Genomic DNA, 22,904 nt, shown 5'->3' on the forward strand with positions numbered 1-22,904 from the left:
ACCTTCTTTAGTGAAGCTTCTGTTTCTTTTGCCCATTTTCAGTTTTGTTGTTTTTCCTCTTACTGCAGAAACTGGAATATTCTTTATATACAGTATGCGTTCCATTTCTTGTTACAACTTGATCTAAAATATTTTTCTCCTATTCTGAGTCTTATCTTTTCATTTTCATAATAAACAAGAATTTATGAAAGCTACTTATCTATTGAGGTTTGTTTTTTTAGTTCTTTGTTTTGGTTTTTCTCCAGCTGGATGCCATACCCTTAAAAATTCAGCAATTGACTTTAGGGAAAAAAAATCATTGAATATGGAAATCTATGGAAATCTATTTTCAATTATTCTGTGGTATATTCTTTGTTATGCTGATTCTCTATCTCCCTCTGTATTTTTTATTTATCTGTGTGTGTATGCATACAAATAAGTTTCTAATATCAGTGTGTGGAAGATAAAATTTTGAATCTTGATTTGAAAATATTTTTACTTTCTCATTGAATTGATATATAAACTGGGTATAGATCTTGAGCTTGAAAGTCAAGTTCACCAGGAACTCTAGGGTCATTTTAAATTGTTTTCTAGTTCCTAGTGTTCTTGCTCTTATTCTTATTATTGAATAAGAATTAACATTGCATTTGGCAATAAAAATATCAGGATCTCTACCATTTGTTGCTAAAATTATACTATGCTAGTTGCAACGTAAGTGCTCTAGAAAGCAGACTATAACAGCAGAATTTGTTTGCATAAAGTATATTGAGGAATGCTTTCTGGATTAACACATTGTGGGGAGCAAAAGAAAGCGAAAAAAATGGAAAAATATTATCTTCAAGGCAATTAGACCTGCACAGTGTTTCCCAATTGTGACAAGAGGAAAAATTCTTTATAACTTCTATATTGACCAGCATTAAGTGAGTGCTGTCTCCAGGAAGCGGGGTGGGGTGGAGGTAGTGGACATTTCAGTAAGGTGGCCCCCTTTGGCCAAAGGTAATTGCCAGATATTGGAATTCTACAAGCTGTGAGCTGTCAAGGCACATAGCGACTGGGAGAAATGTCCAATTCAGTCTTGAAGAGATTGCTGACCTGGGCAGTGCCCCATTACATACCTTATTTTATGTCTATTTTCTTTCAATATACTGGAAACTCAGTGTATCAGTTTAGTTCTGAAACTCATGTCTTCACCTGAGAAAAATATTTTTAATTGACTTATCTGAATGATATATTACTCTGAATTTTCTGTTCTCTATTTTGGAAACTTTCTGAATAAATTCTCCACTTTTCTTTTGTATACCCTTCTAGCTTTTTTGATATTTTGGTCTAGTTTCTAGGAGAAAGAAATTTTCTGGACTTCCTTTTGACCCTCATTTTAATCATTTTTTTTCCATCATCCAAATGGCATTCTAGCATTGCTTTAAAAAAATAACAAAAATAGGCATATGCTCTTGTTTTGTAAATGAACCTTCTTTCATATCTCTGGTATACTGATAAAATTGTTAAAGGTGTTTTTGGATTGTTTGTTTTGTTGGCTTCCTGAATGGTCTATGTTTATGCCAAATTTCTGTTTCATTTATTTTGGTCTCTTTTTCATGTGTTAATCTTTACTCTAACATTCGGTGTTTCTCTGCTGCCAGCAGACATTCAAGGAAATTCATTAAAAAGAAACTGGAGTGTATTGCATAATATTGAGAATTACAGAGTGGTGTGACTCAGCAAAATGACTGGGCAGAAAGTTGCTTTCGTTAAGGAAATTACCAAATGACAATAGATATAGGTCTTTTTTCATGGGCAATTCTGATTCTCTGAGGGAGGTGAGTGAGGGGAATGCCAATTTGTTTATTCCCAAATATGTGTACATGCATAAATGCTCATGTAAACTCAACTGCCAGAATTCCAGATTGCAGTGGAATACAGAATGAGATGGAGGATTTCCATGAAGCAACATGCTTTCTCTGCTGCATACACTGTATGTAGGTGGAAGGCTCTTGTTTAAGTTGCTCATGATACATACTCTTTTATCTCCAGCATAAGGTTGGAGAAGGAACATGAGGATCCAAGCTGCTCATCGTACAGCATTAACTCTATTCCCTTCCAAACTTTAAAATCATGATTTATGCTTCTTTCGGCTTCCTAGCCATGAAACTTATAGGGTTCTAGATTTTGTGGGGTGATTTGCTTCCCTTCCTTATTTTCATCCTTCAAAAAGTGGTCAGTATCACTAGTCAATCATTGTTTTTTCTTCACTGTGTCTCTATATGTCCTTGTACATATTTTTTCCTATCCCTTAATACAACTTTAGTGGGTTTCCAGAAGGTATGAAAATACACACATGGGTTCAGATGTTTAACATGAAACTTTATTACTATTTTACAAAGCTCTACTGGTAATTTTTATGCACCTCTATACCATTATTAGTGTTTTCTCTAAATCTCACATACACACATTTTTAATATGTTGACTGATGAAGATCCTGTGTAGCAGTGTTAGTTTCTCTTGAAGGTGAGGAACTAAGTATCATCAGATTATCAGGATTTGGAAAGGGTGATATCTGGAGAATTATTTATGTGAAACTTGAACAAAATTTGAAAGTGTGTTACATTGCTATTGATATGATTTGGATGTGTGTTCCTGCCCAAATCTCATGTTGAATTGTAATCCCCAGTGTTGGAGGAGGGGCCTGGTGAGGGGTGATTTGATCATGGGGGTGGACTTTGCCCTTGCTGCTCTCATGATAGTAAATGAGTTTTCAGGAGATCTGGTTGTTTAAAAATGTGTAACATCTCCGCCTTCTCTCTCTGTCCTGCTGTGGCCATGTGAAGATGTGACTGCTTCCCCTTCACCTTCCACCATGATTGTAAGTTTCCTGAGGTCTCTCCACCCATGCTTCCTGTAACTGTGGCACAAAGAGTCAATTACACCTCTTTTCTTTATAAATTACTTAGTTTCAGGTATTTATTTATAGCAGTATGAGAATGGATTAATATAGCTATGGTTTAAATACTTAAAACTAGAATTTTATTTTTTAATACGTTAGTATTACAATTCATTATTCTTCTTGAGGTGAGAATCATATGGGAAATTATAATAGAAATACTCTTCTGAATGACTCTATAAGTGGAATTTATTCAGTAGAGCCAATTTCCATTTAAAGACTTCTATTTGCTTGCTCTATTATAAAGGTACATTTGCTGACATTGTGAATTGAAATATATATACACACATATAGATATATATATATATACCATTTGAAATGTCAATGGTATAATATTTGAAATGTTATCAAATTGTAAAATTTTGTTATAAAATTGGATGCTGATGGTATTAAGCATGATCAACAAAGTTCAATTATTAAAAAGTATTTTCTCCATAAATAAAAAATATAATTACTTACAATGTTTTTCATTCCTGTGTGCTTGTCATTTTATTCAGTCTATATAAACAGTGACAGAATCACATAAAATATATTTAATATATGTAATAATATACTTAATATAATCTGAAATATTTTAGAAGCAAAATTATTAAAATATTTATAAATGATGAGATGACTGAATTATCTGCCATTTTATGTCTTTAAAATGATATTGTCATTTGTACCCTGATTAATGTGACCAGGAAAAATGCATTTCAATTTTTTGTCATGTGTCTTCTGTCGCAACTTAGGTAAATTTAGCCAAAGAGTCGCAATGACTAACCTGTATACGTAATCCAAATAGTACATTTTCTGGTTTTATAAATACAAAAACACAGCTTAACACAGTTAAAAAAAATCAATGTGCATATTTTTTGTTCTGTAAATATTTAGAAAAACTAAGTAAATAATAAGATGAAAGGAAAAGGTTTGTAAGATATAATTGAAACTCCCTGGTGCTACTTGGAGCATTTTTTAAAAACAGTTATTAAATAAATGAATCCTGGAAGAGGAATAATCTTAACCTGGATCAGAGTGCATGAATTTGTTCTTGTTGCCTCATTCCAACATTAATCAATGCCTAAAGGTTTGCTGGTACAGCTTTTAACAAACTAATTTCTGACAAAAAAAAAGATCTAGAAAGTATAAAAACATGTTTAAAAATATGTATATCTATTTGAGGGTTTAGAGATATGTTAAGATAGTCAGAACATTAGAGGCCAAGATTATGTAGAGAAAAGACACAGGAGAGAGCATCTCAGTTGGGTTTTCACTCAGGACATTTAGTTTTTCTTGGTGTAAATAAAAGTAGTGAGCTGTTATCAAGGGTCAAAGCAGTCAATAAAGCTTTAGTACATGTCATGAGGTTGGGGAGACAAACAATTAGAAATGAGGGTAATCAAAGAAGACAGAGGGGCCAAAAATATGGAGAGAAGGAAAGTATTTAGATATCGATATTTTCTGAGCCACATACAAAACACCAAAAATCAAAATATGGTAAAATTTCTTAACATCACAAGCTAGAAGATAACTCAAATGTACTAAAATTATTGGTGAAAATGATTTTTATGTTAGTAATCTATGCTAAGTATAAAGAGTAGTAGCCTTTATCCACAGTTTCCATTTCTGCGGTTTCAGTTTCCCTTGGTCAACTGTGGTCTGAAAATATTAAATGAAAAAATCCAGAAATAAACAATTCATACATTTTAAATTGCCTGTTGTTTTGAATAGCATGATAAATCCCACATCGTTTTGCTTCATTTCACCCAGGATAGGAATCATCCCTTTGTCCAGTGTATTAACCCTGTTAGTCATTGAGTGGCCATGTTGGTTCTCAGATTGTTACAGTATGCAGTGCTGTTGTTCAGGTGACCTTTATTTTACTCAATAATGGCTTACAGGAGCAAGAGTAGTGATGCTGGCAATTCAGATCTGCCAAAGAGAAGCCATCAAGTTCTTATTTTAACTGAAAAGGGGAAAGTTCTCTACTTAAGAAAGAAAAAAAATATGCTGCGTTTGCCAAGATCTACAGTAAGAATGAAACTTCTATCCGTTATTTGTGAAGAAAAGAAAAAGAAATTCATGCCAGTTTTTCTATCATACCTCAAACTGCAAAAATTATGGCTGTGGTGTATGATAAGTGCTTAGTTAAGATGGAAAAGACATTAAATTTCTGCATGGAAGACATAAACAGAAGCATGTTCCCACTGATGAAAATCAATTTGTAGTTTCAGGCCTCCACTGGGGGTTTTGGAATGTATTCATTTCACATACAGCAGGGACTACTGTATAATAAGTGTAAGAGGAGAATGAAAATATTGTTGAATTAGCATGCAAAAACTGTGCCTTGCAGAAACCCTTAGTTAGGAAGTTATTGCAGATATTATATTCACATGTATTCAAGAAAGATAAATAAGTGATCAATAAAACAGAGAATAGGTCAATGAAAAGCAGGAAAATGAAATCCCAGAACAAGTTTTGCATAAAAGAATAAGAGGGGAAACAATCTGCAGGACAGGGAAACTGAAAGGCTCCATAGCATATTCTCATTGGAGAATCACACAACTAACGTGTGCGAATATGAAAATATTTTTATTACCTTATGATTAAATGTTGGTGCATTTGGGAAAATTAGTAATAATTAAATGAAAAAGTAGAAAAAATGTAAACCTAATCATTATTAACCTCAGGAAAAGCAAACATTACTCATGAAGGCTCTCAGGTCATAGTTGACTACTCAACCTAAATAATGTGAAGTCTAATTATTTAATAAAATATTTTTGGGGGAGGGGATAGGGAGGGAGTAGAGAGTAGGGATTTCAGAAGTAAATTTTCAACTTTCATTGGAGACGTTCCTTAGAAAATAATCTAAAATTTATAAACTAATAAATGGTTTTGCAAGTTTATATATTTATAAATAAAGAAGAGTTTAATTTGCCTCTGGCAAATGTTTGAATGATATGAGGGAGGAGTAGACGGGAATCAAATTTTTATTAATGCCTTTAGTTATATTTGGTATCTTATCTATATATGTAAATTGAGAAAAACTTGATTTTTAACCTAAATTTAAAATTCAAGAACATGTATTATTTTACTACCCTCCAACACTTTGCTTTTAAAATTTGCATACTACTCCATAAGATTAATTTGGTTTTATTGGTGAATACTTTAACTGTACAAAGAAAAGATGCCTTTCCAAAGATCACACCTTCTGTTTCTAAGGGTCTTATTGTAACAATTAGGAATATAGTTAGAAATAAATAATATGGTAAATTTCCTATTATATGTATTTTGTCATGATAAAAAAAGCAAACAAGAATATAATTAGAAAAAAACTAACAAAAATATACAAGTGGTTTTATATATATCCATATATATATATTTCACTCGCGTGCATGTGAAGAGACCACCAAACAGCCTTTGTGTGAGCAACAAGGCTGTTTATTTCTTTTCTTTTTTTTTTTTATTATTATACTTTAAGTTTTAGGGTACATGTGCACAATGTGCAGGTTAGTTACATATGTATACATGTGACATGCTGGTGCACTGCACGCACTAACTCATCTTTATTTCACCTGGGTGCAGGCGTGCTGAGTCCGAAAAGAGAGTCAGTGAAGGGAGACAGGGGTGGGGCCGTTTTATAAGATTTGGGTAGGTAAAGGAAAATTACAGTCAAAGGGGAGTTATTCTCTGGCTGGCAGGAGTGGGGGTCACAAGGTGCTTAGTGGAGGAGCTTCTTTGAGCCAGGATGAGCCAGGAAAAGGAATTTCACAAGGTAATGTCATCAGTTAAGGCCAGGAGAGGACATTTTCACTTCTTTTGTGGTGGAATGTCATCAGTTAAGGCAGGAACAGGCCATTTTCACTTCTTTTGTGATTCTTCAGTTACTTCAGGCCATCTGGGCGTATACGTGCAGGTCACAGGGGATGCGATGGCTTAGCTTAGGCTCAGAGGCCTGACTATATATATATATATATGGATAGATATATATACCCTTTGAACTTATTTTCACAGGTGAATATTTTTTATCCAAATCAGAACAAGGAAGTATTGTTTGACTTTGGATTGAGTATTCACCAAAAAGTATATATCTTTATACACTGTCTATCTCTAAATCTAGTGCCAAATAAAAGCGGCAATATTAATCTGCTTAAGTAATTCAACTATCAGATACTTAGGGACTATGCAGTGGCCTTACCAGTAATTAAAAATCAGTGTTTTCATTGGGTAGATAGAACGCACACGCACATATATACACACAGAAACATATATACATACACATAAATTAATAATATATAGACACTGAAATTGGGGACAGAGATAAAAAAAACATTTTTTTAAACCATTGCCTCTGTAATACAGATTATTCAGAAAATGTGATCATTCTAATGTCTTCAAATATGAATGCATTTGGAAGGTTGCTTGCTAGAAACACAGCTGGAAAACTGGAAAGAAAGCACTCCCTTGTTACTTCAGTTATCCTATGTGGCAAGAGAAGAAAGGGTCAGTTTCACAAAATGTGACTGATTTATTTTGTCCCACCTTAGAGCTATCTACAATCAGCAGGGAAAAGCAGGGGTTGAAAGGTGACACTATCATACAAAACTTCCTAACATAATCTTTTCTGACTTCAAAATAAAAACATATAACTTCATATTTCAAAGCAATATTTCTTTCTTTTTCCATCCCCACTAAAAGTCGCTGCTGTTTCACCAATTAATGAAGCAAATAAGTTATTATCTGACTGACTACAGGCAGAGAATCTCGGCAGTTATTGACCACTGTGCCCTACGAGATGACAACGGCCTCTGTGTTATTAGAGAAAATTAGAGGTAGGAAGCATCTTGAAACACTCCCTGCTGAACTTTGGACTTCAGAAGTTATAATGCTTCCACTCTGTTTTAATGCTTCCACTCTGTTTAATGGGTTTGAAGTTTCAATCCAGCAGAGACGTAGCAGCATCCTGTGGTCAGTTGAATGGACTCATGCTGTGTATTTTGTGCTAGAAATCTTTTCATTTCTTTGAAGTATTATGTCTCCACAGACGGGGAAACAATCAAAACTGGAGAAACCAGTTTCTATTTGAGAACATTAACAGATAAAATGAACATGGGTACAGTTTTGCCCATTTTATTTTATTTTTATGTAATCTAAAACAGGAAAAGAGGTTCTTGTTTTGTTTAAATAGAATCTTTCTTCAGATAGGAAGCTTGTGAGCAAAACAATTAGATTATATATTATTTTTGTGTGGAGATGTCACATACACTTTATTTGAAATACTTTGTTTGAAGTATCTCCAGATATGAATATGAAGACATACGAAAAATACTTAGACAACATGTAAATGTGCTGGCTCTTCTGAATTAGGATGTATTATCCCTTTTGTGAGAAAATGGGGTGAGAAGAATATGTAAAAAGATAGATTTGTGGCACTTTACTTTCTGACCATAGGAGTTTGGGGGTCCAAAGTATTTTTTTTTTATTTCGTACTTGTTTAGGGCTTTGGGTTAAATAACATTTATTTATTCATATTTGGTTGTATTAGACCCAAAATTGTGAACACTCTTACAAATTTCATTAAGTTAAAATTGGTCAGTCAAATAAATATTATATCAGGTCAGTTAGTAGCACATTCTGATTCTATATCTGTGCTTTGATTTGTTGATTAATATGGTCAAAGAAGAAGAAAACTCTTTAAAAATGTTTCTTTTCAGAATATGAACTTCTTTATATTTCGGCATGGTAATGGCATAGGCATTCCCAGCTCATTTCTTATTTATTTAAGCTTATACCACCTCAAATGCTTTCATGTCTCCATCAAGCATGCATGCATTGATTTATTCAGCAAATCTTTATTGACTATTTGCCTCCAAAGTAGCAGGCACATTAGTCTCCATATTTAGATAAGAATTCATATCTAACATCACCTTTACCACATTCATATTATATCAATTAATTGTAAACAATATATGTGTATTTTCAAAATATACATTTTTGGTTTTAATTCATTGAACCTCAGAGAATGTGATATCTGCTATTTTGAACTGTTAGAATTTATTGAACTTTTTATTGTGGTATAAAATAAGGATAATTGGATGGATAATTAGATGAATAATATGTGGCCACTTGGAAAATAAAAAAAAAAAAGGAAAACTCTCTCAATAGAAAGATGGAAACTTTTCCATCTCAATAGAAAGATGGAAACTTTTCCATCTCAATAGAAAGATGGAAACTGTTTCACTCTTTCCAACATAGACTTGCAAGTCACACCATGTCAGTTCTGCTACCTGCCATTGGGTAAAGTGAGTCACTAGGCCAGCTTATTTTCAAGGGGAGATAAACCCCATCTTGAGAGAAAGAACATCAGTAGATTTACCAATTATTTTTAAACAATCACAGTTTGCTTTCTGACCACAAATTATTTATACTTATCCACATGCTTAATAGACTCAGACTCTCCCAAGATCCTCAGAAGTGTTATCTATTACATCATTGGTATAATGTAATAGATAATTTATTGTCTATTACATCATTAATCTTAGGTTTGAGCTTCAGGATCCTGTCATGTATTTCAGATTTAGGGACAGATGAGGCTTCTTGGGTACTATATTTGGGATACTGTTTCTCGAATGTCATTTCTCTTCATTGGAAGTCCTGTCAAGGTATCTACCGCTGGTGATCTCAACATCCAATAATGCCGTCAGTATAAAGAAACCACCTTGGACCCTAGCATTCTTAAAGGGGGAAAAGAGGCACAAAGCAGTCACTGTCTGGTAGCAATTCTGAAACCCAGCTGGGCACGTGTTGGCAATCTCTTAATTAGTACCCACTCTTTTCTGGGGATGTTCTCCTTTAATCTTTACTCTACTCTCTGGGCTTTGGGTTCTAGCCTTTAAATTCACCTTCCTTTAACATAAAATGTAGCGCATGTCTGCAGCCAAATAATTTTCTCAGCTTTCTTCCTGCAAGTAGTAGTTTGGGGGTCCAAAGTATTTTTTATGTTGTGCTGTCTCTTCCTTTGTAGTCCGAGTAATTGTGTTCCCAGTAATGTAAATTTCTTAAACATTCTGAGTTTTTTGTAGGTCTTATTGAAGTTCATTCCATTATGGAATTATTAGAAACTTTATGCTTATGAATTAGTGGAGATATATGAAGTGCCCATTTACGGACTTTACAGGCCTCTTGTCTGTTTTGAATGGTGCTATGGTTTGGATGTTTGTCTCCTCCTGAACTCATGTTGAAACGTAATCTCCATTGTGGCAGTATTTGGAGGTGGGTCTTTAAGAGGTGATTGGATCATTAGAACTCTGCCCTGATGAGTCGATTATTCTTTAATGGATTAATATATCAATGGGTTAATGAATTAATAGGTTATCATGGGAGGGAGACTAGTGGCTTTATAAGAAGTCAGGAAGAGAGACCTGAGCTATCACAGTCAGCCTCCTCACATGTGATGCCCTGAGCTGCCTTGGGACCCTGCAGAAAGTCCCCATCCCACCAGAGCAAGAAGTCTCCGGCCAGATGTGGACCGTTGACCTTGGACTTCTCAGTCTCCATAATTGTAAGAAATCAATTTATTTTCTTAATAAATTACTCAGTCTCAGGTATTCTGTATAAGCAACAGAAAACAAACTAAAAAAAAAAAAAAAACAAGTTTATGAGACACCAACATATATAACTAGGAACTTTCTAGTAGAGTAGACCAAATAAAAAAACTGTATAAATACTTTTTTAAATTGTTTTTTGCATTGTTTCCGCTACAAAAGCTTTCCACTTGCCTTCCTTTGGCAGAGGTCCTAAACCACTTCCAGTTCAAAGCTGCTCAATTCATGAATTGCTACTTGTTCAAATAAACTTTTTTAAAATTTTTATTGTGCCTCAGTTTACCTTTTTGATATAAAATTTTACATATGAAGGCACAGGAGCTGGGGCTGTCAGCTGATTCCACTCCAGACAGCAGCTTTTTTTTCTGCAAGAGAGATCTGAGCAGTGTACTTCCAGGTCTTTGCCACAGTGCATTTCAGAAATCCTTCAAATGTTACAGATTGTTGACATGACTTTCAGGCAGATCTAATTATTTAATATTTTATACTTTTCTTCTATTACTCTTTTAACAAGAAAGCAGTAAACAGTAAACTTGTTGTATCAAAATAAAAAAATGTGGTGGATATATTAATTTGATATTAATTTCCATGAAACAAATTATATACAACCAGCTATTTGGAATTCTAACTTAATTAATGCCAATGGTTTCTTTCTCCTTGTTAAACCTGGTTTTTATACGTGGAATCTAACCCCATAAAAATATTGAAAGCCGCGGGGTGGAGCCTGCAGTGAGCCGAAATCGCGCCACTGCACTCCAGCCTGGGTGACAGCGAGACTCCGTCTCAAAAAAAAAAAAAAAAAAAAAAAAAAAAAACTGAAAGCACAGAAAATATTTTATAATGTCTCTAATAGGAGAAAGATGGAACATTTGAAGTTTGTAGTGTGGTAATGGTTTTTTTAAGGAGATGGTAATTAAAATGAACACTGATGAAAACCATAGTTCCATCTCCATCATTTTAATTTGAGCACTGAACAAACATTTCTATCCTATATTTTCTCTCACTGATTACTCACAGAATACACAATTACCTACTTTGAACCAGTATGTACACATTGCAAAAACACAGATAAAAGTGTTTAAATGATTTCTAAATTAAGGTGTAGAACTGTTTTCTATTTACTTAGTCTTCAGGAAAATTTTTATTCTCCTTTCTGCATTTTCAAAAAAAAACCCAAAAACTAGTGTCAATTTAAGAAGCTTAGCTGCTGGCAGGAAGCAAAATAGAGTAGTTGTATTTTGGAGGGGAGTGAGGGGGATATTTTTTAAATCACTGAAATTTAACTGTTGAAATTGCATTTTGCCCTACTACTTTTTTTTTTTTACTGTCCTACTTAGCATTTGAATTGCTTGACGTAGATATAAAATTTACATTTACAATTCCAAAATTATAGCTCCCTGTTCAAATTAATATAAAATCTGTCTAGCTTCATTTCCCTCTGCATATGCACTACAGCTCTACATTATAAAACAAAGTTCAAAACTACATAGATAAGTATAGTTATATGACATTAATATATTTAAAAGGCATCAATTCAACAAGAATATTAACAATTCTGAGACTATTTGCTTTCAAAACATAGTTTAAAATTGTACAAAGCAAAATTCAACAGAATTAAGGACTAAAAATACAAATTCATAATCCTAGTTTAATCATTCATATATCAATAAAATAGCTAATAAGAATACAAACAATAAGTATGCATGTAGAGAATCTTAAAAATACAATGAAATTTTTGATAAGATGCTGAAATTCATGTCAATAAGAAAATGCAAACTAAAAATCACAATTAAATATTACTACTATAGGGGTGCCGTGATGCTCTATTGAAATATCCTAAGAGCTTAAATACCCACCTATCAGCTTCTGGAGATGGTGGTGAACAATAACTTTTTCATGCTCAGATGCAAAGGAATAGCCCCCTTTCTCAATTTGGGTCACATTTTCTCAATTGAGAAAAGGGCCTATTTCTTTGCATCTTTGCAGAGTTATCTTAAGCTCTGAGTCTTAAGATCCCATTCATCTTCATTAAGTATCTGATGCTGATGAGGATGAAACCACCTTTGCAAAAATTATAAGATGAAGAAAATTATGACAGTGTAAGAGATCTGATCTAACCAACCCCATCTTGCTTTTAACCTCCAAACTGCCTTTAGTCATTCCTGGTTATGGGCCAAGCTAACTTTGAGTGAAATTTAGTTTATAGTTTAAATGATAATAGCCCTTCCCCAAAACTATACCAGTCTTGAAAAACTAATGAAATGCCACCAGGTTACGAGAATGAGAAGGGCCTGAATTCTACTAAGATGTAGGCATAGTTAAATGATTACCAGCCGCTATTCTGGAGGTCACAAGATCTGCAACTTCCCCAATTACTCCTATAGATAACATCACTATTGTAAAAACAAAGACTGGCCTTGGAGATGTCTTTTCAGGCTTTTTCAATTCTGACAGTTGGGTGGCCCCACCGAGACCTGTGATTCAACCAGTCCTGTCAATCCCACCCAAGAACAGATTCAGTGCAGAAGGACCATTTTCCACCCCTAAGATTGCATCCCCAGCCAATCATCAGCACTCATACCCTATCTCCCTCCTCAGAAAACTGTCTTTGAAAAACCCCTAACCTTTGAGCCTTCCATGAGATTGATTTGAGGCTTAACTCCCTCTCCTGCATGGTGCGGACAGCCTCTTGTCAATTAAACTCTTTCTTTACTGCAATGTCATGGCCTTGATGGACTGATTTTGTCTGAGCTGTGGGCAGGATAGAATTCAACTTTTCATTTGCCTCTCCATGTGTCTGAGAACCAATGGAGTGGAAGTAGAAATAGGATTAATCATGCACCGTCCTTCTGGTGACCCATTGGAGGATTGTACTTTCCATTCCCCAAGTGTAAAGCAATATACTTCTAGATGTCCTACTTCCCAAAGGGGAAATGCTTTTACTGGGAGGTATAGTGATATTACCAGTGGCAAGTCTGTATGGGTCTGCAGCAACTCTATTCTTGCCTCCTAGAAGGAGTGAATTTGGCCAAGGAACGTAAGACAGAGTGAGAGACCGAGGCAGGTTTTAGAGCAGGAATGAAAGTTTATTTAAAAGTTTTAGAGCAGGAACAAAAGGAAGTAAAATACATTTGGAAGAGGGCCAAACAGGCAAATTGAAAGATCCAAGTACCCTGTCTGACCTTTGATTTGGGGTTTTATACATTGGCATCTTTCTGAAGTTTGCATTTCTTCTCCCTTGATTTTTTCTTGGGGCAGGCTGTCCGCATGCGCAGTGGTCTTCTAGTATGTAGGAAGGACTGCACGTGCGGTGTGTTTATTGAAATTGTGTGCATGTTTATTTGAGGTGATTTTCCCTTACAAGTCGAGTGTTCCTAGAGGAAGATCATATATCAGTTAAACTCTGCCATTTTGTCTCTTAGTGCACATGCTTGAGCCCGCTCACCCAGCTCTTGAGATCTGATCAAGAAGCTGCTGATCACCAGCTTCAGGTGTTTTCTATCTTTTGGGAGACTGTCTTTCCTTGGCATCAGCTGCAACCAATCATTATTTTAGAGGGACAGTTTAACAAACTCCAGACCATCACCTGATGGTCACCTGACATTCTTTGGTTGGGGTCTCTCCCACCCTGCTCATGTCTGCCTAGCTACCTACTCTAACAGGTCACCATAACAGGAAGAGTAAGTGTTTCTCATCACTAGGGAAAGCAGGGCTGCTGTTACACAACAGGGGAAGGGAGGAATGTTATGGGTGCTCAGGTGATCTACTAGGGCATACTTTGGGTTCACATGCCCAATTTCAACTGTGAATTCACACAGAAATGCAGTCATCATGGCATGAGGAAATGAAGGTAGCCAGAGTCTGAATCCTCAAGGTTATGTGCCTGAATCCTGTCACAAAGCATTCCACCTAGACCATATAAGTGCTAGCTAAGAGGGAGAGAAATCTAGAATAGATGATGGAATAAGGGGATAGTAAATTGTAATTATTACCTTTAAATCAATTGCAATATTGGCTATGGTTTTTCTCATAAACTGTTTCCTTGTAAGTTTCGCAGTAACACCACCAACTAGAATTTTATTCAAAGATAAGAATAAGCAAATGGGTGTGAGTGGGACAAAGTGGAGAATATAGTACATAATGTCGGGTTCTGTCCAGATCTCTTCCTCTGGGCTGATGTGTGCCTGTCTTAGTTGCTGGGCGTATTAGCTGCCAGTACTTCACAGCTGCATCTACCTCAGAGACTTGCTCTTGTCTGCAGGCAATTGTCTCAATCAAGATTGAACTTGGTCTCAAGTGTCCTGAATCCAGTGATTATCTAATCTGTGATACAAAGACTAACTACCTTGCCTCCATTTTGAGAAACCCGGAAGTGCTGCTATTTTAGTTCCAGAGCTTCTCACAGGAAGGCTTAAGATCTAAGAAGTTGAGGTAAGAGAATATTTGAATGATTTATATGTAATTTATAGTAATTGATGGTGATGAGAAGGTGCTATTTTTCTCGAGAGTTCAGTAAGCTGGTTCTAAAATTATATTATGAAAATTACATAAATACACACACATTTTAGCATTACAACACATGAATATCAAGATGAATACCAATGTACTATATGGAAGAAAAATTAATATTTACTAAAATATGAGTGGATATTCCTAGAGTGTATATCTTTAAATGTTTATGCTATCTTCTTTAAAAACCTAACGTTAATGATGATGCCCATTTTACATACTGTTAGGTTTGCTTTACACACATTTAAGTTCACTTATCAAAAAATGTGTATGTTAAGCAAAGCAAATTCTGTAGCCGTTTTCTACCCTCAGTTACATAACCTATGCTGTGGAAACTAAAAATCTCAGCTGAGCTATAGTCAAGAAATTTCTTGCCTTATCAGCAGGAGAATGACACTGCAGCTCCTGGGAGCTTTCCTTTTCTCCTATTTGAGCAACCTCAACCTGAAACAGCACAAATTTGTGCATAAGTAAAGCGTGTAGACAAAGCAGATGCTATAGTGATCCTCTCCTATAGAAAAAGGAGGAATTATTGCACTCTAAGGCAAGGATACTATGGTAATTAGCCATAGGGCGCATGTAGTTACACAGGAAAACATTAGCAAGATATCTAGACTTCTATTTGGCTCCGTGTGACTTAATTGCCTTCTACTGATGATCCCTACACATAGCCCTGTGCTTCTTATGCTCAGAGGTCATGCTGGCTGAAAGTCCAAAAATAAAAGTGATGCCTAACCTCCACATCACACATCCACATTGCCCTAACACCAACCAGTGATCAAATAAGTCCCTAACCTATGCTCTTCATTTTCAATAAATAAAACCATGAAATTAGAAATTAGACCCTGTGCTAAATACAATGCCTAAGTTTTATTAAGATTCTAGCTCTCATGAATGGAAAAAAAAAATCAGTAACTCAGAAAAGAGCAGCTGATGGTAGCTATTGTTTAAATTGCTTATATATATGAATGTATGTGCACTGTCTATAATGTGACACTTGCTCAATATATATTTTATTAGTAATGTTTTATTTAGTTGTAAGTACTCAGGGATTATTTATCTTATACATAGTTATACTTATTGTATTAAGGAAATATAAGTAATGCTACGTATTTGAGATGAAAACAACCAAATTAATGTCAGTCACCTTTGTTCTGAATCTCAGCTAAATCTATTTAATATGTGATTTGGGGCAGATTTCAGTTGTTCTTGACCTCATTTTCGACACTTGTAAGATATATCATTTAAAATCACTTTCAACATTTAAAAAGATAATTGAAATTTAGAATGTGCTCTATTTGTGAGGTTATTATGAAGATAAGTAGAAGGACGGTTTCCTGAAACTCTAAGGATGTGCATACATACAAAGAAGCCAGTCATTCTTCTTTCATAAAAAACGCTTTCTTGGTTGTCTTGTCTGAGCATTGTGGATCTTGTTTTTAGCAGTACTCAAACAATTTCTTTAATGTGGAATATTATCTAGAGCAACAAAACTGTAAGTTACAAAATGATATAAACACTGACAGTCAGTTGACAGTTTACTTAAGGAGAATTCCTACAGCAAATTACCAGTAATTCTGAAGCTCAATTCTGGTCCTGTTCTGAGGCTAACTAGCTCATTTTACTATGATCTACTGATTGAAATGTACATAAAATCTTTGATCTGGATCCATGGCAGACATATGTTCATTAAGAAAAAACTGTAATTTGATTTTTTCAGCACTCATCAATAGGCTTCTATGTTCCACATATTGAGTTGGCTTATAAAGGTGAATATGTCACAAATCCTTCTCTCAAAGATTCCAGATATTAGTTGAAAGCATGAATAATTATAACACACCAACTATTTTAGGTCCTACAGAAGCAGAAAAGATGGAGGATCCATTCAGCTAAGGTTTGGAAATATTAACAGATGAAGTTATGTTAGAGCTTCATCTAGTTCAGCAGGTGATCAATGTTATTCTCAGGTGGAGAAAATTAAGTGCAAATTATCAGATGCAAAAATTACATCTGAAGTTTTGTTTTATCTGAAGTTTTGTTACATCTGAATTAGTTTTGAAGTCGCTCAGCAAAGGCAAGCTCACCACTAGGTTACAAAATCAATTTCTACCTACCTGCGACCTTTGTCTCTGCATTCTGTTATATAGTCTCTTTCCAACCAATGGAGTTGTGGCTTCTTAGAACACTATAATTTTATTTCTTAAATCAAATCCTCAAATGGCCATCCTAGATGTCAGGTCCATTGCTCTTGCTGGAAGAAAGGATGGAGGACAGGCATCACATGTGTGGTGAATTTGACTAGCTTTCTAGAAGAGATCGTGGCTCAAATTATTCCCAAATTGACTATTTGAAGCTATTTCGATTGGCACCTGTGCCCCTTTGGCATTCCCCATCCTTTTGTTTTTTGACCACTTCCTTGATTTTTGGCCCTAGAAGATGTTCCAGGCTCATCTTGTATTTTTCCTCTTCCAGCTCTAAAATCAGTTGTTTCTCCAAGAAGGTTGAATTCCTTTAATGAGAGAATAGTATTTGCAACCAAGATCAGGGCATAGGAAATGCTCACTGCCACTGGAATAGCATTGCCTCTAGGACCTGTTGGCAGACTGAGTTAGAAAAAATTTTTTCTATGATAGATAAAGTATAATCCAACTTCAGTGAAAGAAGTAGCAGTATATGTGGGCAACAGTCATTTTTAACATACTTTTAAATTTGATATTTATTAGACACAATGGTAAGAGTTAAATATTATGCTTAATCCTGCTGTTATGATTTTTCTGAAGTTATGGTTTACTTGTGTTGTATAAGCTGGTTGATAAAGTTCGATGTTACTAAGACAGCCAGGAAAATGAGAATAGGGCGATTTAGGGATGCCATATATGCTGGTATCCAGAGGGTACAATCAATCTAGGGACTACTTTAGGTATTGGAGACACATCTTTATAGGTAACATAAAAATACGTTGTTTTGTGATCACCTCATGGATATAGGATGGAGCCCCTCCCACTTAGTAGGTTGGATTTGAGCCCGATGACAATACATCCACTCCAAGAAAGTAAGAAAAATTGGTATGACTCCTATCATGAAATGTCCTGGAAAGAACAGGGCAACATCCCACAAGGTCTAAAATGATTGGAGAGACCCAGGGAGAGCAACTGGGTTTGACCTTTTTTGCAGTTACAGAATAGGGCAGGAAGAGTGTTCCTCCACTGGCCAGGTTTATGTGGGTTGAACTTCCTGCTGGTGTCAAAGGAAAGAGCAACAGACTTACTGACTGTCCCAAATGCGAGGAAGAGGGGGAACAGGGACAGAGGCTCTAAATCTGTCGGCAGACATCAGAAATGGAGTCAGACTTTTCTACACCACCCATACGTTAAAACAAGTCGTGTAAATAACAGAAAGACTTTCACTTGCAATGTATAAAAGGGTTCTTAGTTATAGATTAATTTTATGGGTTAGTCAAATGCAAATAGATACCATGATTGAATAGATTTCTAAGTACAAGTTAGTACAGAAAGAAGTGCAGTTACTAATTTAATATACCTTACAGTTTGAAACATTTTACTGAGAAAAACAAATGCACCAAGTACAGCATTGCAATCTGCACCCAATTTATTCTGAGTTTTCTTTACCTTTTGGTGACTACCATTTCAATATATGTTTTGATAAGAAGAAATCACTCATGATATAACTTATTTCCAATTTTCTGATCTTAATTGCTTGTCAACTTCTCAATATATTTTAGGAAAAGATAGAACCAAATACAATGTTACCGATGAGACAACCATTATTACAAAAATGATATGTTCTATAAAATATCAATCTATAAGTGACAAGAAAGGGGAAATTTCAAGAAGAGACCCTTATTCTGTATGCAGATAATTCATTTTTTGAATATTATATTGAAAACAAATTCTAAAAATTTTCCCCTAATCTATACTAAAAATAGTTGTATTTTTATAAATATTTTACTTATTTTAATTCAGTGATGATTTAAAAATTAGCAAGACAAAAATTTCTAAATACTTGCTATGGTGCTGCACATATTTTAACTTCGTTAAAAATTTATTAGTTTTTTTAAAGCCCTTAAATGTGTAGGAAAACATTCAAACCATTAACATGTTATGTTTATATGTTAATGCAAGTAGTTAAAAGATAAATATTCATTAATTAATCCTATATTTTTATGTCTTTACACTAGAAATATTTATTTTTAATTTATTTTAATCACGTCATCTCTGTTCTCAGAAAAACACACTTTGGTCCATTTGGAATGAACCAAATGCATTTGGAGTATTCAAAAAGAATGTTGAAATAAAAGGTTAACCTTAAAGAGAATGAATTTGGCTATGTACTAGGGAGAGTAGATTAGATTGCAGTAACAAACAGAATGAGATAGTATAAACACTAGGCATAGTGAAGTACATTTCCACTCTATTGATAATCCTGTTACAGGGTGGTTGGTTAGTCTTTTCCATGGGTAGTTCAGGTACTGAGGCTCTTTCTGTCCAATGTCTCTGCCAACAACTTTGACGTTGTACTGGTATTTATCTGTTCAATGCACATGTAAAATAAGAACAGAAAACATGGAGGAGGCAAAGCTTCTTGGGTCTTGGCCTGGAAATTTAATATAATACATGTTATTTCATAGCAAGTCCAAAAATAACTGTTAATAGGACCATGTGCCAAGATAAAGGAGGTGTATATGGATTGTGTTAAATAGGCATCCACTGCAGGCTGCTAATCATTAGTCATATGGGAACTAATGCTTATTCCAAAGGTGGAGCACAGAGTAACAGCAAGGCTAAGCTGTAGGCTTTTTGAATTTGCAGTGATAAAATTTCTAAAGTAAAAACCTGTCTCAGACAGGATCAGCACAGAAATTGTACTATACAGAGGCTGGAAGTAAAGTGTCTCAGTAATGACAACCAGGTATAACTTAGCACAGGAGAGATCAGGATTAGTGATATTTTATTAACAATTATTAGTGTTTATGATACATAATTAATATTATAAGGAGATTCATCTTGTGCATAGTTAATCTATGAGAGAATTAAACCAAGGATTTTTTTTCATTTTTCATTATTTTTCTCATGTTCTTTTATTTATTCTAGAAAACGATGTGATAAAAATAAGTTACTGTTCTGAATAGCTAGTGAAAATTTACACAGAAAAATAATATATTTTTAAAATAATCCATTAATATATAGTAACAAACCCATTTTTATTCTGAGGTTAATCCGCATGTGAAATGATTAGGCCAGGCATTGCAACTCTAATTCCCCATGCTTGTGCATTGAGCTGCCATTTGTTACATCTGTTTGCATTAGTCATTTTGACGCCTAGTGCACAGTAAAATCAAGACTAACTACAGATAAAGCAGAAAATTTAGTGGGAAAATGTGATGAATCCTTAAATTATTTTTATTATTCCATCTGGATGGCAATTATATTGCTTTGTGGGGTTTTTATAAGATCACAGTAAATATAACCATCTTCTCAGGAGATTAAGTTATTGGTGAAGAGTCACTTTAATAAATAAATATTTACACAACTTGGAAATTGTGTAAATGTAAAATGTAATGACATTTATGACTTTAAAAACTTCACTATTGAAATGTACAAATTTAAATGACAATGTTAAGATTGCCAGATATAATGCTCTAGTTTAATGAAGTAGCTAGTAATTTTTAAGCAAGGCTTTTTTTCAACCTTGTGTCATAATTAACCACATATCTAGAAAATATCTTGTAGCTAATCATATAAAACAAATTCCTGGCTGTTATAGCCTTAGAATTAGCACTAACTAAAACTCTAGTAACAATTTTCTTTACTAGTATTTATTAATTAGTTTGGTTTTCTGGCAGAAATAGGATGAGTCAATGAAAATCTGTCTCATATTATTATAAAGAATTCGAAATTCCAATGCTTAGTTCAGAATGCAGTCATGCACAATGCTTCATCCCCTCTACAGACACTGTTCAATCTTAGTGTGATGCTGGCCAATGGAATATAAACAAAAGTGGGGACTGCAACTTCCAGGAGTTGCCAATAAAAGGAAAGTATGTGACTTTCTCCTCCCTATTCCTCCTCCTGTTTGGGATATTGATAAGGGAATCTGGAATTGGAGTAGTTATCGTGGACCCTGAAGTGAATCTGAGAATGGAGGTTACACATGGTGGAGGAACCTACTTCTGCCATTTTATACAAAAGATAAATCATTTTATTTATCATTTGATTATCTCATTATTAGATCAAATAAGGCTTAATTGATGTAATGCATATCATAGCTTGATAAGGCAGAGCTACTAGACCCAACAGAAAAACTTTACTAATTATTTGTTTCATCATATATGACTCAGTCGTTAAAACAGTGTATGAAGCCTGTCATATTAGTTATTGAGGGAATGAGACAGAGAAAGAGAGTGAGAAAGGGAGACATATGTAAATCAATAATTTTACTTTTACAATTGGTAACTTTGAATAAACTGAAAAATTATGGGAGAGTTGTTAAATAGTTTTACTAGGCATGAATTAACTACACATTAGAACCCAGACAGACAACGATATATTAATTAAAAAGAAATTGTTAATTTCTTTCAAGTCTTCAACAAAATACATCAGTTCATTTTATTATTCATGAGTCTAAACCTATAAGCAATCTTAACACTGTATTTTTTCTTCATTGCACAAGGAATGTAAAATAAAACAATGTAAAGATTTTATCAAAAGCAGTTTTTCACTAGGGAGTTTTATTATTAAAGCTCTGACTCTTCCTCAGTTGCAAAATGTTGATTGCAATCAACTTACACTTTCAAATGTCCATGTCTTTTTATTTATTTTTTATTATTATCATCAATTGTAGGCTACTTGTTAGTTAGACCAAACACATTTTGGAGTCACAGTATATGAATAAGCAGAAGAGTTATATGCAACTTCAAGTTAAAAAATAAAAGTGGAGATTCAGATCCACAACATTAATTTTTTTATTTTTAGACATTTGATGCCATGCCTTGTACATTTTGAAATTCAACATGGTAATCATTGATTTTTTTTATTATTTTTAAATATGCACATTTTCTAATACTTAGCTATTATAGTAGCACTTTCCTGAAGAAGCAAGAATTTAAGAAAAGAATTAAAGAGACGAATCCACTTTTAAGTGTGGCAAAGGCATGGATACAGATACATGTCTACACATATTTGAATGTGTGTATATCTCTGCTGTCACAACATTTTAGAACAGCTTACAGCAAAAATGTATAAGGCTAAATATTGTCAATATATGTATAAGAATTAAGACACAGATCTGGGAAAATAATACTTCCTGTAAAAAGTAAATAAGTTTGAAAATAACTATAGTCTATTTATTGAAGACATAGCTTAATTATTAATAAAATTAATTGATTAAAACTCATCTATTAATATTTTAAGTGTAATAACAAATTATTGCTTCATTTTGCTAACTATTGCCAGATTTCAGAATCTGCCTTAATCTGACATAAAACAGGTGGTGTCATATAACATAAGAACTAGAAATAAAATCTTGATGAACATGGGTATAGATGCAGAAAAAGTACCATTATTAAAGGATATTTTTGGGACGCCGAGGCGGGTGGATCATCTTAGGTCAGGAGTTCGAGACCAGCCTGGCCAACATGGTAAAACCCTGTCTCTACTGAAATACAAAATTAGCCAGGCATGGTGGCAGGCACCACCAATCCCAGCTATTCAGGGAGCTGAGTCAGGAGAATCGCTTGAACACAGAAGGTGGAAGTTGCAGTGAGCTGAGATCGCACCATTGCACTCCAGCCTGGGCAACAGAGTGAGACTCCACCTCAACAATAAATAAATAAATAATATTTACATATTTATAGAATGCATTAACAGTAACAAAAA

At 34.4% G+C, this 22,904-nt stretch overlaps 1 long non-coding RNA gene across 3 annotated transcripts in view, besides 2 other annotated features; it reads left to right on the forward strand.

Moving 5' to 3' along the window:
* Positions 1,169 to 2,368: an enhancer, noted in NCBI's record as "MED14-independent group 3 enhancer chr13:90053092-90054291 (GRCh37/hg19 assembly coordinates)". NCBI's record gives its function as "activates an origin of replication core promoter dependent on BRD2, BRD4, P300/CBP and CDK7 cofactors, and independent of MED14, by STARR-seq in HCT116 cells {active_cell/tissue: HCT116}" and the evidence as "EXISTENCE:reporter gene assay evidence [ECO:0000049][PMID:35650434]".
* LOC107984621 (uncharacterized) overlaps positions 2,777 to 22,904 on the forward strand; it is a 73,346-nt gene continuing 53,218 nt past the window's right edge. The window contains exons 1-3 of one of the 3 annotated variants that reach the window (XR_001749953.2): positions 2,777 to 2,839; positions 7,595 to 7,728; positions 14,762 to 14,931. This is a non-coding gene — a long non-coding RNA (uncharacterized LOC107984621). Of the gene's footprint in view, positions 2,840 to 4,802; positions 4,928 to 7,594; positions 7,729 to 14,761; positions 14,932 to 22,904 lie in introns of those variants that run through there. The other 2 variants (XR_001749954.2, XR_001749952.2) reach the window with 2 other exon arrangements.
* Positions 6,457 to 6,999: an enhancer, noted in NCBI's record as "NANOG hESC enhancer chr13:90058380-90058922 (GRCh37/hg19 assembly coordinates)". NCBI's record gives its function as "activates a minimal SCP1, AML or CMV promoter by ChIP-STARR-seq in naive H9 embryonic stem cells {active_cell/tissue: H9 hESC(naive)}" and the evidence as "EXISTENCE:reporter gene assay evidence [ECO:0000049][PMID:30033119]".

Source organism: Homo sapiens, chromosome 13, assembly GCF_000001405.40.
Source record: "Homo sapiens chromosome 13, GRCh38.p14 Primary Assembly".
Taxonomy (NCBI): Eukaryota; Metazoa; Chordata; class Mammalia; order Primates; family Hominidae; genus Homo; species Homo sapiens.